Genomic DNA, 17,357 nt, shown 5'->3' on the forward strand with positions numbered 1-17,357 from the left:
TACTTTTAAAAATGCAATAGTTGAAAAATATGCTAAAAAATACAGTAAACGGGACATAAACTAAAATGTTCATTGGTGTTTATTCAAAATTCAAATTTCATTGGCCACCCTGTATTTCATCTGGCAATCCTAAATTGCAGTATTATTCATGTACCCTTCTTTGTTAGTGTTTAAGTCATCTTTATTCTAGAAAGGCACAAAAAGAGCTATTTAAACACTATCTATGGTTTTCTGCACTTACTTTACAAAAATAGCAAAGCAGGATGTTTATATTGGGCATTTGGGACACTTCTCTAAATGCTTTCTATTTCTCTCATGTTGCATGAAGCTATGCATTAACATGCCTTAACCACCAATGAAATCAATGATTTAAAAGCTCTTTAAAATATAAGCAGCAGCTTAAAGTACAAAACACATTTGAAGATATGAAATGTTAAATTCAGGCCTAGTTTTTATAAACATTTTTACCAAATGTCTCTGTAAATGTTAAGTTAAATAATAAACAAACTGGAGTAGAAGCCATCAGAATAGCCTCCTTAGTCCCACAGCAAAGGTGGGCCACGACTGGTTTCTAGATGCCAAACCCTCTTATTAGGTCACCTAGCTCCTGTGGATTGTGTTTAGGGACATGCATGTGAACAAAACCAGAATATCTCACCCCCAAAAAACACTTCTTTGGCATATTTCCATATAGCTATTCAAAGGAACTGCAAACCACAGAAATCTTCTTGAAAATCTGTCTTTTGTGGAGAATATTTGCATCTGTAGAGAAAATCTACATTCATGAAATAAACAGCTAGGGTTTCTCTGAGCCCACCCCCACCCCACTCCTATCCGAATCCAGGAAAGATTAACTCACATGAATGAGAGGGAGAGTATGACACCTTTGAAAGTCTGATAAGAGACATTTTACCACAGGCCACCATCTATTTTTTCTGAGAACTGCTACCTGTGAAATTTCATGTGTCTTAGTCTGTTTTCCGTTTCTGTTCCTTATAACAGAATACCTGAAACTAGACAATTTATAAAGAAAAGGAACTTGTTTCTTACAATTCTGGAGGCTGAAAATCCAAGGATGAGGGGCTGCATCTGGTGAGGGCCCTCTTGCTGGTGCAGACTTTCTGCAGAGTCCCGAGGCACCATGAGGCATCACACGGCAAAGGGGCTGAGGGTGCTCACTTGGATCTCCCTCTAGTCCCATTCTCATAATAACTCATGAATTCCTTAATCCATGAATGGATCCTCATGATGCACTAGATCATAAGGGCTCTTCTCTCATGATCTAGCGATCTCTTAAAGGTCCCATCTCCTAATACTGCCACATGGGGAATTAAGTTTCAACCTAAGTTTTGGATGGAACAAACTTTCAAACCATAGCACTCTGTATAACGAGACCACCTTCACTAGCCAGGCCTTTTCTTGTCCCTCCCTCCCATAACCTGTCTTGCACAATCCAAGCCCCTATTCCTTCTGCGACTTCTGGATGGTATAAAACTTCAGTCATCTGGCCTTTCCTGAGTTTTCATATTTCATATTGTTCTTATGTACACATGTGCAAGTAATAATTTCTATACCTTTCTCCTATCAATCTGTCTATTATGCATTTGTTTTATAGACTCAAATTATCAAACCTTCAGAAGGGTGAGGAAGGAGGAAGTTATCTTCACCCCTACACATGATTCAGACCTCTAAATAACATTTTATGAACCAGAGTGACAAGACACTCCACCTGGAAGAGTTGTCAATGTCCTTTTTATGAAAGAGTGGTAGATAACTGCTACAACTAAAACCAATCCATTATTTGATAGATTAATGCAATACTTCTTCAAGTTAGGGAAACATTTTATATCTAATATACATAAATTTCATAACAGTAAAAAGCAGAAGAGACTGACACTGCATTATGCAAACCAGGACCTGTGATTACCAGTGTAGCTGTTGATCTGCCTTTAATTAGTTTCTTGTTTTTACTGCAAAATGATGAGTCAAATCAGACTCAATTTTCATTTCTCCACTAGGATCAGTGGACATTGACAGAATGACACAATTGATTTCAGATCATTTCATGCGACATTCCAATTTATGTAGAATCTGTTCATGAGATAATAAATGTGCAAGTGCCATGAAAAATACTAAGTACTATACAAATGCAAAGTGGCATTATTATTACATAGAGAGATCTGTCACATTTCATAGGGACTGTGACAATAAGTGAGCTAGAAAAAAACAGGCAGCAGAATAAATATGGTAGTGAAGAACGGACTGTCATATTCCTGAATTCTGAGGAGTTCTGAGTGGACAACCAAATAGTTGACCCTCAGTCTATTAAAGTCAAAGTCAGATAGACCAAGAACCTTTACTATTATAGGTAAAAATGTTGGTAGTGGTGACAGGGGTGTCAGTTGTCCTTTCCATTAGGTCCAGTTTGGTAAAAGCATGTATGATCTCAAAACACGAGTGGCAGCCTACTCTCACCCTGTCCCACCCATGTTAGCCTCCCTCCTGATCTTTGCCCCTAGTTCATGGAAACCCATATCTGGCATGTTTACTCGTTCATCTCCAAGCAATACTATGTGCCAGGAGCACGTAGTAGAATACAGGAGCAAACAAACACACACAAAATACCTGGCCTCATGAAGTTTACATTCCAGTAAAGGAGACAACTAATATACTAATTAATTGATTGATTGATTGATTGAAAATTTATTAGATGCCATGAAGAAAACAGACTATTTTTTAAAATAACATTTCTCATGAATTGACTTTTAAACTGTTCTGTGGCCTTAATAGGCTGTTTGACTTTGGAGGTGAGGTTGGGTAGATATTAATTTCCTCACATCTGTAAGACAGAGAGATAATTTGTAATATCTATTCCTGTTCCAAATGCTATGTCTATCGATTAAAGACTAAAAATACCTTTGTGACAGATATGCACAGTTTTAAGATAAAGATTACATTTGTTTTTCAGTGTGGTTTAATCGCTGAGGACAGAGTCAACAATATTTTCCAAATTAAAATTTGTTCTATCAAAACAAATTCATGAACATGTAAATAATTTTTGATTATTGCTTTGGTACAGTATTAAAATCTGTGTTTTAAGATTTTTAAGCAAAATAAGGTATTTTTATTTTAACAGATAGCTAACGCATATTTCAAAGTGACTTTTAAGAATTATAGATGTCTTAACCTGAATCATCACCATATTTGCTCAAAAAATGCTGCACAAACTAGATCCTAAATCTGTAATCTTATGTGGCTGAAGAACAAAAGAAATGTATTCCTCTTTCATCTGTGAAGCAGAAGTTCCCTCACTGAATATGCGAAAACCAATGGCCATGGCCTTCGACAGCTTCCTCACAACCAATTTCACTCTGTCTCCCTATTCCCATTTGCTGAGCAGATACAAAGACATCTGTCAACAGAAAACACAGATTTGATGACATTTGAGGACCAAGGAATGTCCTTTACCCAAAATATCTTCTCTGAGGCCAATGTGTGAGTTCTCACAATTAGTGATTTATTCTTCTATGTTATATAGTAGTTATTTCCGGGAAGTAGATAAGGAGAAAATGAGGAAGAGGGGTGAAAACATGGGGAACCCAGGGCTTGAGTATGTTTGACAGTGACTGTTGGTTGGTGGTGGACTAAAAGATAATAGCTTGATAAGATACTGAGGCCAGGGCCACACAGGGAGTAACTTTATCGTAATTTCCCTCAAACTAGAGTGTGAGACGGAGGCAGGAGAATAGAGTGTGGAGGCAGGGAACATAAGGCCAATTCATGCTGACTTCCTAGAACTAAATTAAATGGAAACACTTTAGCTATGACAGGAAATATCCTCTCCATTTACATTGGGCATACCCCAAGTAAATGACTGTAACTTTACTTCATCCTCTTCATTTACATAGGGGATACACCAAGTAACCAATGGAAACCTCTAGAGGGTATTTAAACCCCAGAAAATCCTGTAACAGGGCTCTTGAGCCCCTATGCTCAACCCACTCCCACCTGTGAAGCATACTTTCATTTTAAATAAATCTCTGTTTTTGTTGCTTCATTCTTTCCTTGCTTTGTGCGTTCTGTCCAATTCTTTGTTCAAGATGCCAAGAACCTGGACTCCCTCCACTGGTAACAAGATAAAAGACAGAGTAGGGGGAATAAAGAAAGAAGGGGTTTCAGAGAGAGGAACTTTAAGTCACATTTTATTAAAACTGATCTTTGCTGTCTGTACCTCTGACATGACAACAAGCCGTTTTCCTTGGTATTTTGCTTTGTTGACATTCTGGTTTGCCATAATTGGTCATCGTTTCTACTAACGTGACCAAAAATTAAGGTTTGAAAAAATGAGCAATTGTCCAATATATGACTCCTAGGTTTTATAAACCAAAACTAAAATTTTAAGCCCCTCGACCGAATCCATGGACCCATCCTGTAGGCCAAGGGAATTCCAAAGAAACCTGAAAAACTAGTTCAGGCCGTGATAGGTAAGGGTGCTCAAACATGCCTCATTATAATCTCCTCTTTTTGGAATTCAGGCACAGCTGATCAGCATTAACATTACAACAGAGGTCTTAGGACTGATCTTTGTAGGAATAAGATACCAAATTCCAACCTGACTCTGGTGTAGCATCACACGACAGATAGCAGGCCCTGAAAAAAATCAAAGTATTTTACCCCAAAATATATTCCTTTGACATATTTTTAAAGGCCCTGCAAAGCTGTCTCTTGTGGGGGAAATGCATTTTGCAGAGAATCTCCTTCCCTTTCCAGGTCTTTTTCTGATCCTGAAGAGATTAACTGAGAGTCTAGAACCTTTTAAAGGTAGGAATAGAAAGCATTTGCCATCTATTGCCTCTAAGGGCAGCCACCTATGCAACTTCATCTACATGATAAGAACCTTGGTCTCCACAATCCCATATCTTAACCCAGACACTTGTTTCCACTGATTCCAGGTCTTAGATAATATCAGTTTTAACTAATCATCAATCAGAAAATCTATGAATCCCACCCACGCCACTTGCTTCAAGTTGTCCTACCTTTCTGGACCAAATCAATGTATACCTTACGTATGTTGATTGATGTCTTAGGTCTCCCTAAAACATGTAAAACCAAGCTGTAACCCAACCACCCCTAGGCATATGTTATCAGGACCTCCTGAGGCAGTGTGACGGGTCACGGTCCTCACATGTGGCTCAGAACAAATCTCTTCAAGTATTTTACGGAGCTTGGCTTTTTTCATCAATAATTTCTAGGTAAAAGTTAAAAAGTGAGAGTCCATATTTACTCCCATTTTACCTGCACTAAATCGCTAGTTTCCCTCCTCCTGTAAGCAAGAAGCTGAATGGCCTACCTCAGCTTCCCTTTACTTATTCAAGTCACTCAAATGCAATGCAGGCAGCTTTTACTTTCTTTCTTTTTTTTGTTTTTCCTATTTTTGTTTAATTTATTTAAGACCACCTCCTCACCATTTCCAGAGAGAAAATACAAAACAAGAAACAGACTTGGTTTCGAATACATAACCAGGTGCTGGAGTTTAAAGCATTACTGATAACATTGTTACAGAAGAATGGCAGCTTACTTCACGGCACTTCAGTATTCCTGAGGAATAAACATAATTTCTCTTGTCCTCCCACTGGGATGTTCTCAGGTGAAGTCACTGCTCCTGCTCTTTGACATATTTTCCGTGTAGAAGATATGGAGCCTGGAAATCATGTGACAGTTGGAGTAAGCCATTCCTAATCCCATGCCAGAACGGAAGGCTAATGGCCACATTCTTCTTTTAAAGAAGGTGAGAAGACAATTCCTAATCCAAAACCAGTGCCTATCTTCACGACCACATCCGCCAGGCACCGGTCCCACTTCCGGCCAAGCTCCAACTCCGACCTGTTCCCCACCGGCGCCTCCAGCTTTCCTCTTGGCCGGCTTCCCGCTCCAACCCCTGCAAGTCTCGCGAGCTATTTTCTTTAAAAGCATTACCCTTGAAAACTTCCATAGTTTCGGCTCTTAACACCATCAAAATTAGTCTTAATCTCTGAACACATAAAGATAATCCTTTCTTCTCTCTTTCTGCACAATATAGATTTTCAAAACAGAGGGAAATAAAGCACTTTATTTAGTTCCAGATTTATTGTGTTCCATTTAGGAATGAACTACTATCTGGGTAACCCATGGGATGCCAACTCTATATGGAGAGAATAAACTATTTTAGCAATGGACCTGGTGTGGCTGAATGAAATGACACTTCAAAATTGTAGGACTGTGGAAAACAAGATATTTGCTTTGTGCCTTAACTTCCTTTCTTATACAATATGAAAATGACCTGTTCAGTGTGTTATAAGAATTGCCAAATGCAATACATTTTTAAAATATAAGGCATAGAATATCTTTATATTTACTCAGATGAGTTTTGACTCTTCTTTCCTTGGATGTTGGCAGTTTAAATGAGAGAAAGGCAAAAGGTAAACAAAGCTGAAATAAGGATTGTACTTTATTTTGTTTATCACATTTAAAGAGTGTATGAATCCGTTCTTGCACTACTACAAAGAAATACCTGAGACTAGGTAATTTAGAAAGAAGAGAGGTTTAATTGGCTCACGGTTCTGCAGGCTGTACAGGAACCATGATGGCATTTGCTTCTTGGGAGGCATCAGGAAGCTTCCAATGATAGCAGAAGGCAAAGGAGGAGCCAGCACGTTTTATGTGGCCAGAGCAGGAGCAGGAGAGCGAAGGTAGAGGTGCTGCACACTTTAAACAACCAGATCACACGAAAACTCACCATCATGAGAACAGCACCAAGGGAGAAATTCGCCCCCATAATACAATCACCTCCCACCAGGCTCCACCTCTAACATACGGGATTAAAATTCAACATGAAATTTAGGTGGGGACAAAGATCCAAACCATATCAGAAAGTATACCTTGATTGTACCAACACTAAAGTTTCACTGATTTTAAATTGACATACACATTAATTTAAAATTTTTCTCTACTGTCTCAAATTTATGAAAAGTATAAACTAACCAGCTTTGTGAATGGGGTCATTGAGAAAGAAAAGAAACAGAAAGAAAAGAACCCCTGCCCAAGAGAAGGGTCCTTAATAGTCAAAGAAAAGACAAATAATTCTAGACAGTATCATTACAAATTCAATACAGTAAATATAGTTGGATAAATATATATTGAGTACTGCAGTCTAAAAACAAAACACATTATCTTCAAGGAATTCATAAAACTTACATAAACTTTTCTATATATCAGGTGTGGCAAATTCTTTGGTGATCTATTGAGAAAACACTTTTACTAGTATATATGCCCTTGTATAGTCCCTCCATACATTATTTCTGGTTTTGGCCATGTGACTGGCTTTAGCCAATGGAACATTAGCAATTGTGATGCATGCCTGTACATGCAGGCTATATTTTCAGAACTCTACCTCTTGGAACATTCCCTCTCAGATTCCAACCACGATACTGAAAAAACCAAAGCCCAGTCTAGCCATTTAAAGAGAACACATGGAAGTAAACCAAGAACCCAGCCAATATCCCCAGGTAAGCTCCCAGCCAAAAGCCAGTACCAATATCCTCCTTAAAAGAGATTCCTCCCATTCCAGTTAAGTTGCCCTAGTTAATGCCTCACGGAGCAGAGATAAGCTGTTATTAATAAGCCCTGTTCAAACTGCAGAATTTGAGCAAATAAATTATTATTATTGTATTAAACCAATAAGTTGGGGATAAATGCTATGCAATGATTATCTGAATCATCAGAGTATGAACAATTTATCAATTTATTCTAAACTATAATTGTACAAGCTGTATTCTGACATAGTAAAGCCAAATAAAATATAAGCTTTGAATAAAGAGAAAAAACCAAAAACTTTGAAATAAAAAACATTTTATAAATTACTTATGAGTGATAAAGATAAAAAAATTTTACTGACAGGCTTCTTAGAAAATAAGGACAATGAAAATGATGACTAACCTCTGATTTTTTTATCTTGCCCAAATTCCTATCTAAGGCATCTGGTGAGTCATGGCCTCAGATGGGTTTTATTTAACCCTACATATCATGATTTACTTTCCAACCCAACTCTAGCATAACATTACAAAACAAAGAAGAAAATCCTGTATTCGTCCACTCTCGCATTGCTATAAAGAAATCCCTGAGACTGGGTAATTTATAAAGAAAAAAGTTTTAAGTGGCGCACAGGCTATAGAAGAGGCATGACTGTGGAGGCCTTAGGGAACTTTGACTCATGGCAGAAGGTAAAGTGGGAGCAGGCATCTTCGCATGGCCAGAGCAGGAGGAAGAGAGAGAGTAGGGAGGTGTCACACACTTTTAAACAATGAGATCTTGTGAGAACTCTATCACAAAAACAGCACCACCAAAGTGGGACATCCGCCCCCATGACCCAATCACCTCCTACCAGGCCCCACCTCAAACACTGGGAATTACAATCCAACATGAGATTTGGGTGGGGACACAAATCCAAATCATGTCACTTCCCAACTCATTCTGTGAGGTCAGTATTAACCTGCTACAAAACCCAGGCAAGTAAAATCACAAGAAAGAAAACAGACCAATATCCCTTATAAATATAGACACAAAAATATTCAATAAAATACTAGTAAACTGAACCCAGCAACATATAAAAAGAATTACAGTAGTACCCCCTTATCCAGGGAAAATATGTTCTAAGACCCCCAGTGGATGCCTGAAACCAAAGATAGTACCAAACCCTATACAAACTTTTTTCCCTAGATATACATATCTATGATAAAGTTTAATTAATAAATTAGATACAGTAAGAGATTAACAATAACTAATAACAAAATAGAAGAATTATAACAATATTCTAGCATCACTACTTTGATGCTTTGGGGCTATTACTAAGTAAAATAAGGGTTACTTGAAGAGAAGCACTGAGATACCATGACAGTTGACCTGATCACTGAGATAGCTAAGTGACTACTGTGTAGATAGAGCATGCAGTGTGGATACACTGGAAAAAGAGCAGATTCACATCCCAGGTGAGAAGGAGCAGGACAGTGCAAGATTTCACCACACTGCGCAGAATGGTACGCAATTTAAAACTTACAAATTGTTTATTTCTGAAATCTTCCATTTACTATTTTCAAACTGCAGTTGACTGAAACTGTGGAAAGTGAAATCATGGATAAGAAGGGACTACTGTGGGCTGGGCGCAGTGGCTCACGCCTGTAATCCCAGCACTTTGGGAGACCAAGGCGGGCGGATCACAAGGTCAGGAGTTTGAGACTAGCCTCACTAACACAGTGAAACCCTGCCTCTACTAAAAATACAAAAATTAGCCGGGCTTGGTGGCGCATGCCTTTAATCCCAGCTGCTCAGGAGGCTGAGGCAGGAGAATCCCTTGAACCTGGGAAGCGGAGGTTGCAGTGAGCCGAGATCACGCCACTGCACTCCAGCCTGGGCAACGTATCAAGTCTCCATCTCAAAAAAAAAAAAAAAAAAAGACGGGACTACTGTGTATACCATGACCAAGTGGGATTTGTCTCAGAAAAGCAAGGACGGCTTAAAATACGAAAATCAATCCAGGTAAAACATCATATTAACAGAATGAAGTCTAAAAAAAAAAAAAAAAAAAGGATCATCTTAGTAAATGCAGACAAGAGCATTTGACGAAGTCCAACTGTCTTTCGTGATAAAAGCACTCAGCTAGGAACAGAAAGAAACATCCTCAGCCCAATGAAAGACATCTGCACAATTCTCAGGTAACATTGTGCTTCACGGTAAAGACCAACAGCTTCCACTCAGACGGGTAAATAACATGAATCTTGAAAAACACACATATACATACAACCACCTATGTTCTCCCTCAACACAAGAAGGGTAAGAGATTTTCCACACTCTCCACCTTTTCTTAGTGCGTATGCCTTAGAAAATTTATAATTGTTCATTCTTTCTCTGCCTCTTTAAAATGAACTCTGTAAGTCTTTCCAAAACTTAAATAAGCCTCTTGTCAGTGTTATAACCCAGGAACCTTTTCCTTAAAGGCGTAGCCACCATCTCTTTGAAATGAAGCCAATGAGGAAGACCATGCACCTACCAGGGGAGTTTCCATGGGAGGGTGCAGCCTAACTCAGCAGGCACCTGGGTCCAAACTACAAACCTACCTCCTGTCATAAAGATATAATAGATTTGTTTTTCTTTTGGATTAAGGCAATTAGTAAACACAGATGCCTACCCCAATTATCAGATGAATTTAGGATGAACTGTGTGTGACAAATGGTGAGTCAAGTCCTCTTGCTTGAAGACTAGTTATCATTTATCTTGAGAACATGTATGACAAGGGTTACATCTGCTTAGCTGTATGAGATTTCTTTCTGTCTTTTCTATCTCTTTAGTGGATTGCCTATGTTGAAAATGACATCTGGTTTCATGTTTATTCAAAAATCCAAACTGTTTTCTTTTCTACTTTTGGGTTGAGCTTGTCTGGGTTGGCAAGAGATTTTGTTTTTTAATTTATATTCCCCTAACACTTCTTCAGATCAGGAATAAGACAAGGAAGTCTGCTCTTACCACTTCATTCAACATTGCACTGGAATTTCTAGTTGAGTCACTTAGTCAGAAAGGGAAATAAAAGGTCTCCAGATGGGAAGGAAAGAAGTAAGACAATTTCTATTTGCAGGTGCTATGATATTTTGTGTAGAAAATTGCAAGAAATTCACAAAAAAATTACAGCTAATATATGAGTTCAGTAAGTTTATAGTACACAAAATCAATATGCAAAAATAAATTATATTTCTATACTCTAGCAATGAACAATCCAAGATGAAATTAAGAAAACAATTTATTTACAATAGCTTCAAAAAAACCCAAAACTTAGGGATAAATTTAACAAAGAAAGTACATGACTTGTACACTAAAAAGAGCATAACATCATTGAAAAAAGTTTTTTAAAAAAGACCTAAATAAATGGAAAGACATTTTGTGTTCAGAAATTAGAAGACTTGCCATTGTTTAAATGGCTGCATTAGTTTCCTCTTGTTGCTGTGCAAATCACCACAAATTCAGTGGTTTAGAACACACATCTTATAGTCCTGAATTGCTCTAAATTGGTTCTTGCTGGACTAAAATCAAGGTTTTGGTAGGGCTGCATTTCTTTCTGAAGGTTCTGGGAGAGAATCTATTTCCTTGCCTTTTTCCAGCTTCTAGAGACTGCCCACATTCCTTGGCTTATGGCTCACTTTCATCTTCAAAGTCAGCAATGGCCAGTCAAGTCTTTCTCACAGCATGTCACTCTGGCACTTAATCTTCTGCCTCCCTTTTTCATGTTTAAAGACATTTGTCATTACACTGGGTCCAGTAGCCTCAAATCCATCTGCTACCTTAATTCCCCTTCACCATGTAACATAACATATCCATAGGGTCTAGGGATTATACTAGAATGTAGACATCTTGCGGGGGTGGGGGGATCATTTTTCTGCCTATCACAATTGGCAAATTGATCTACAGATTCAACACAATTGGCTTTTTTTTTTCTTGCAGAAATTGACAAGATGATCCTAAAATTTATCTAGAAACACACGGGACACAGAACAGCCAAGATAATTTTGAAAAATAAGAACGAAGGACTCATACTTCTTGATTTCAAAACTGACTACAAAGCTACAGTAATTAACACTGTGTGAGACTGGCATAAGGATATGCATATAGATTGATAAAATAAAACTGAGAAGCCCTTGAGAAATAAACCTTATATATATGGTCAACTGATTTTTGACAATAATGACAAGAAAATTCAATAGGAAAAGAAGTTATTTCAACAAATGGTACTGGGACAACTGGATACACACATGCAAAAGGATGAAGTTGGAACCTTACCTCATACCATATGCAAAAATTAATGCTAAATGAGTCATAGACCTATATATAAGAATTAGAACTATAAAACTTATGGAAGAAAATATAGGTGTAAGTCTTTGTGATTTTGGATTACACAATGGTTTCCTAGAATGACTCTTAAGCACAAGCAACCAAATCAATAAGTTGGATTTCATCAAAATTGAAAACTTTTGTGCCTCAAAGGACATTATCAAGACAATGAGAAGAGAACACATAGAAGAACACACTTACAAATCATATATCTGATACATATCTGCTTTCCAAAATAAGTAAAAACTTTTATAACTCAATAATAAAAACACAAGTAACCCAGTTTAAAAATGGGCAAAAACAAAGTTGTTAAACTTCATGAGTTACAGAAAAATGCAATGAAAAACCATAGTGAGATACCATGTCATACCCACTAGTGTGGCTATGATCCAAAAGACAGATTAAATAATAACTATTGGCAAACATGTAGGAGATTGGAACCTTCACATATTCCTGGTAGAAATGGAAAATGGTGCAGTCACTTTGGAAGACAATTTGGCAGTTTCTCAAAAAGTTAAACATAGAATTACCATATTGAGGAGTATGGCTGCAGGCCAAAATCCTATGTATTATCTTTCAGGCAGGACCCTAGACAGTTACAAGGCTTTGCCCGGCAGACCTCATTGGGGGAAACTGCCATCTCCACATCAGACTTGGTACACAGCTAGTATGTTACAGCTTCTGGAGGGATTTGCAGCCAAGAACTCACTGCCTGGTCCCTCCACCCCCACTAGCCCTGCTCATAGGCTTCTCTGCTTTCCTAGCTCAGGCACTTCCATTCAGAGGCTTCAGTTCAGGCCCTTTTCAGGAGTCCCAGTTGAGACCTCCTTAGGGAGGGCTTGGCTGAGGCAGTGCTTTCAGCTACTAGTGATACTTCTCCATGTTGAATGAATAGTTACATACATCGTAAAAGTATAAAAACATACTTTTTCCAGATAGTGGAAAACTTCCAGATAGTGGTTACCTCTGGGTAGGAAGGGGAAGTAGGATGAAGAGGAGCCTTCAATTGACTCCGTAACATTATTTCTTCAAAAAACTTTTCCTGGCCAGGCGCAGCGGCAAATGCCTGTAATCCCAGCAATTTGGGAGGCTGGGGCAGGTGGATCACCTGAGGTCAAGAGTTCAAGACCAGCCTGACCAATATGGTGAAACCCCGTCTCTACTAAAAATACAAAAATTAGCCAGGCATGGTGGCCGGTGCCTGTAGTCCCAGCTACTCTGGAGGCTGAGACGGGAGAATTACTTGAACCTGAGAGGCAGAGGTGGCAGTGAGCCGAGATCATGCCACTGCACTCCAGCCTGGGCGACAGCGAGACTCCGTCTCAAAAAAACAAAACAAAACAAAACAAAAACCTTTTCTTAAGAATATATAATAAAGCCATAATGTAGTAAAACCTAGTATGCATAAATGGGTATTTGTTACACATATGAAATATTTCATAATACAAAAGAATGAAAAACATCGAAATAATTCTTAGCCCCAGGTGGTGAAATTATATGTGATTGTGATTTTAGTTTTTTCTTGATATGTATATACATTTTTTCAAACTCTTCCAACCAACATGAATTTCTTTTATAATGATAATAAATAATACATGTGTTTCACAAAGAGGTATTACTACCCATAACTTTACTTAAGCAGAGAGCTATAAAAATATATTTTGGTTAAACTGTAATATATGGCTTAAAAATTGAACCAGTATTAAAATCTCATTTTCATGTAAAAAAAAACTCTACAAATATTTTAATAGTTCAGCTGAGAAATGCTTTTATTTTTCAAACACAAACCAAAATTTAAAAGCTGAAATTTACACATGTCCAAATTGTAAGAGCTAGTCAGGAACTGAAATGCAAATAATTACATCTTTAATAATTATTCCTATTAAGTTTTTTTTTGGCAACATGACCTTAAATAGCCCAGGATTATCTGAATGTGGTCATTCAAGCTATTACTATAAATTACTCAGTGTAGAGGTATAATTAATAATTAATAGAACTTTTTAGAGCTAGGACATCTAATTCAACAGTTTCCAATGATTTTCTAGAACCCTTTCTTCATATTAAATAATGTGCAGAAGCTCAACATGTAGAAGAAGCCATAACAAAGGTGCTGTGTTTGAAGCTGGGAGCTGCATTCTGAGCCCTTGCTTGCTCCCTTTCTCACATCTTTATCCTCTTCCTCCATCAACGGCTCTTTCCTGTCTGGAAACAAGGATCGTCAAGTCTCCTGATTTCTAACCACACCTCCTGTTCTCATATTTCATCATAGCACAGTTTTCCTCTATTGGCTGTTGCCACAGTTCTACCTACCATTGCTTGTCATGATCCCCCTGTACCCCAGCCCTTACCACTCCCCTGAAACCTCTCTGGATAACCATTGTCCATCTGCACATCCAAGGGATACTCTTCCATCCTTTACATGGACGCATATGAAATCACCATATAAAAACAATTCTCAATACCTGGCTGCTCTGTAATACTACTGAGCTTAGAAAAGCATTGCGTTCCTCCTTGGGAACTTTCTCACATCGTGTCTGACACTACTTTCTTCTAGTTTTTTTTCTTTTGAACTTCCTGTCTGCCTACTCCTTGTAAGTCACCCCAACCTTCCTGTCTCTGTGTTTGCCTCTTAAGCATTGTGGCTCCTCAAGGTTTTATTCATCACTTGTCTATTTCACAGCAAGTTTCACACAGATGCTGATGACCCTATGTCTCCTTACCAGCCAGAAACACTCCCCTGAGGCTCCAGAAACATATTTGGGTTGCTTATTGGACATAACAGTCTTACCATCTCAAAAGCAATTCAAACTCAACATACTCAAAACTAAATTAATCACTTCCTTTTCTCTGCAAATTCTATCCATGTCTTCTCTAATCATCAGGAAGTTTTGTGGGTTGGATTGTGTCCCCTGAAAAGATATGTTGAAGTCCTAACTCACAGTACCTGTGAATGTGATCTTGTTTGGAAAGAGGATCTTTGCAGAGGTAATCAAGTTAAGATGAGGTCATACTGCATAAGGGTGGGCCCTAATCCAATATGACTACTGTACTGAGAAAACAGACACACAGGCATAGACACACAGAGAATGCCAGGTGAGGCAGAGACAAGAGTGATGTCTCTTGTCAAGTATTTCCCTTCCCAGATCTGTCCTGTCCCAACTGCCTCCCCGGCTTTTGGTAGCCTGTTCAATGGACAGTCCCATTTCTTAACACTTTCAGCTGTCTGGCTTCTTAGGGTGAGGGCTGGCTTCCAGCATGAGTTCCCTCATGGCAGTCTGGTGAGAGCTGTAGCAGCTTCTGTACCCAGGCCCCTGCCAACTGCTCTACAAGAGGTGCTGGCTGCATACTCCCGCCCCCACAACACTTCCAGTGGGGTTGAGTAACCAAAAGAATCTGGAGGTTAAATAAGGCCTATGGGCAAACTTTCATCAATGAGAGACAGGAAATGAATTATTCTTCCTTCCCTCCCACAATCGACTCTTCTAATGCACAGAAGTCCCATAAGATCTGTCCAGAGACATCTCCCATGACCAAGTAAATGCTGCTTCTTAATAAAGCTGTGACAAGCTCAGTAACAGTACATTGTATTTGCTGTCCTTCCTTCCCTTCTTTGTTTCTTGTTTTTTTCCTTACTCTCACTACCCTGGGATTACTACCTCTCCTCTCCAATAAAAAGCTCACATGTAAGCTCCGTTTTCTATGGAACCCGGGCTAAGATAGCAAGTTGCTTAAACATCATTTTTTCTCTTCTAAAAATAGAGATAATGATGGCTCTTCTCATAGGACCACCAAAAGTATTATATTAGACAATATCTGAAAAGCACAGTAACTTGAAATAGTTAGTGCTCACAAAATGTCACTTGTTACTATTAATTATAACTACATGAAGATCCAGAGCTATTTTTGCATTCTTCTCCCACTGTGTTAGTCCAGGTTCTCTAGAAGGACAGAGATAATGGAATCGATATGTATATAAAGGGGAGTTTATTAAGTGTTAACTTACACAATTGCAAGGTCCCACAATAGGCAGTCTGCAGGCTGAGGAGCAAGGAGAGTCAGTCGGAGTTCCAAAACTAAAGAACTTGGAGTCCAGTGTTCAAGGGCAGGAAGCATCCAGCATGGGAGAAAGATGAAGGCTGGGAGGTTAGGCCAGTCTCTCTTTCCACACTTTTCTGCCTGCTTATATTCTGGCCATGCTGGCAGCTGATTAGATGGTGCCCACCAAGATTAAGGGTGGGTCTACCTTTCCCAGCCCACTGACTCAAATGTTAATCTCCTTTGGCAACATCCTCACAGACACAACCAGGATCAATACTTTGTATCCTTCAATCCAATCAAGTTGACACTCAGTATTAACCATCACACCCACTTTGTTACAGGAAGAAGAAACTGGAGAATGTGCACATAATGTCCCCTCTTTTCTTTAATCCTTATTGTGCTACATTAAAAACCATTACCACTGTACCTTGTGCTATAGAAGCATTAAAGTTCATTTACACAGGAAAACACTTATTAAAGGCTGTTAGGAAGCTTACAAAGTCCCTGGAGTACCCAGCAGTCAGGCTTGAAGGCCATACGGGGAGGGACAAAGCTTTAGCCAACATTGTATTGGGTCAGGCACAACTTGTACCACTGACAGTGGAAAGTAGACCCAATCCTGCCATCTTCCAACACCACCCTTTCCCCTGGCCCAAACTGGACTCTAGCCAATACATACTTTCTCCCATTTCTCACTTGCAAATCCAAGTCTTGCTGACGTAATCTGATTGATGGAGTCTAAGTCACATGGTTGTGTTTCAGCTGCAAGGAGGCTAAGATTACACATTTTTCTGTTGACTTGCTTAAGGAAAAGATATTCATAAGGTAGGAAGTCCCCCCCAGATATAGGAAATGAGTTCATAAGATTAACTGACCAGCCAGAAAATATGACAAATGTACACTGTATGTCTACTTGAAGAAATGTCCCAAACCAAATAAAATACGGTTACAATATTTTTTTTTTTGAGACGGAGTCTCGCTCTGTTGCCCAGGCTGGAGTGCAGTGGCATGATCTTGGCTCACTGCAAGCTCTGCCTCCTGGGTTCACATCATTCTCCTGCCTCAGCCTCCGGAGTAGCTAGGACTACAGGCGCCCGCCACTACGCCCGGCTATTTTTTTTTTTTCTTTTTTTTGTATTTTTAGTAGAGACAGGGTTTCACCGTGTTAGCCAGGATGGTCTAGATCTCCTGACCTTGTGACCTGCCTGCCTCGGCCTCCCAAAGTGCTAGGATTACAGGCGTGAGCCACCGTGCCTGGCCACAGTTTTTAAAAAAAAGAAAGAAAGAAAGAAAGACTGAAAGAGAAAGAGGAAGGTGGGAATAATCTACTTATTGAGGGAATTCTGGCAAAGTATATTCCATGTCTAGGTAGTCCATAGTGCACTAGCTATTTCTTGAGTGGACCTAAC

At 38.9% G+C, this 17,357-nt stretch overlaps 1 protein-coding gene and 1 pseudogene across 28 annotated transcripts in view; both read right to left on the minus strand.

The window, feature by feature from the left end:
* The window catches only part of NEK10 (NIMA related kinase 10), a 262,900-nt gene that overhangs the window by 102,653 nt on the left and 142,890 nt on the right, over positions 1 to 17,357 (minus strand). For 2 of the 28 annotated variants that reach the window (NM_001031741.5, NM_001304384.3), the window contains exons 1-2: positions 7,234 to 7,387; positions 6,596 to 6,744 (exon numbers count right to left, since the gene is read on the minus strand). The exons of 25 other annotated variants lie outside the window; for them this stretch is intronic. In NM_001031741.5, coding sequence (NP_001026911.1) covers positions 6,596 to 6,621 — 26 coding nt within the window. In that variant the 5' untranslated portion in view covers positions 6,622 to 6,744; positions 7,234 to 7,387. Of the gene's footprint in view, positions 1 to 6,469; positions 6,745 to 7,233; positions 7,388 to 17,357 lie in introns of those variants that run through there. One more of the 28 variants, NM_199347.4, reaches the window with a different exon arrangement.
* On the minus strand, positions 5,426 to 5,951 carry MICOS10P3 (MICOS10 pseudogene 3; annotated as a pseudogene).

The sequence above is a fragment of the Homo sapiens genome, chromosome 3 (genome assembly GCF_000001405.40).
Source record: "Homo sapiens chromosome 3, GRCh38.p14 Primary Assembly".
Lineage (NCBI taxonomy): Eukaryota > Metazoa > Chordata > Mammalia > Primates > Hominidae > Homo > Homo sapiens.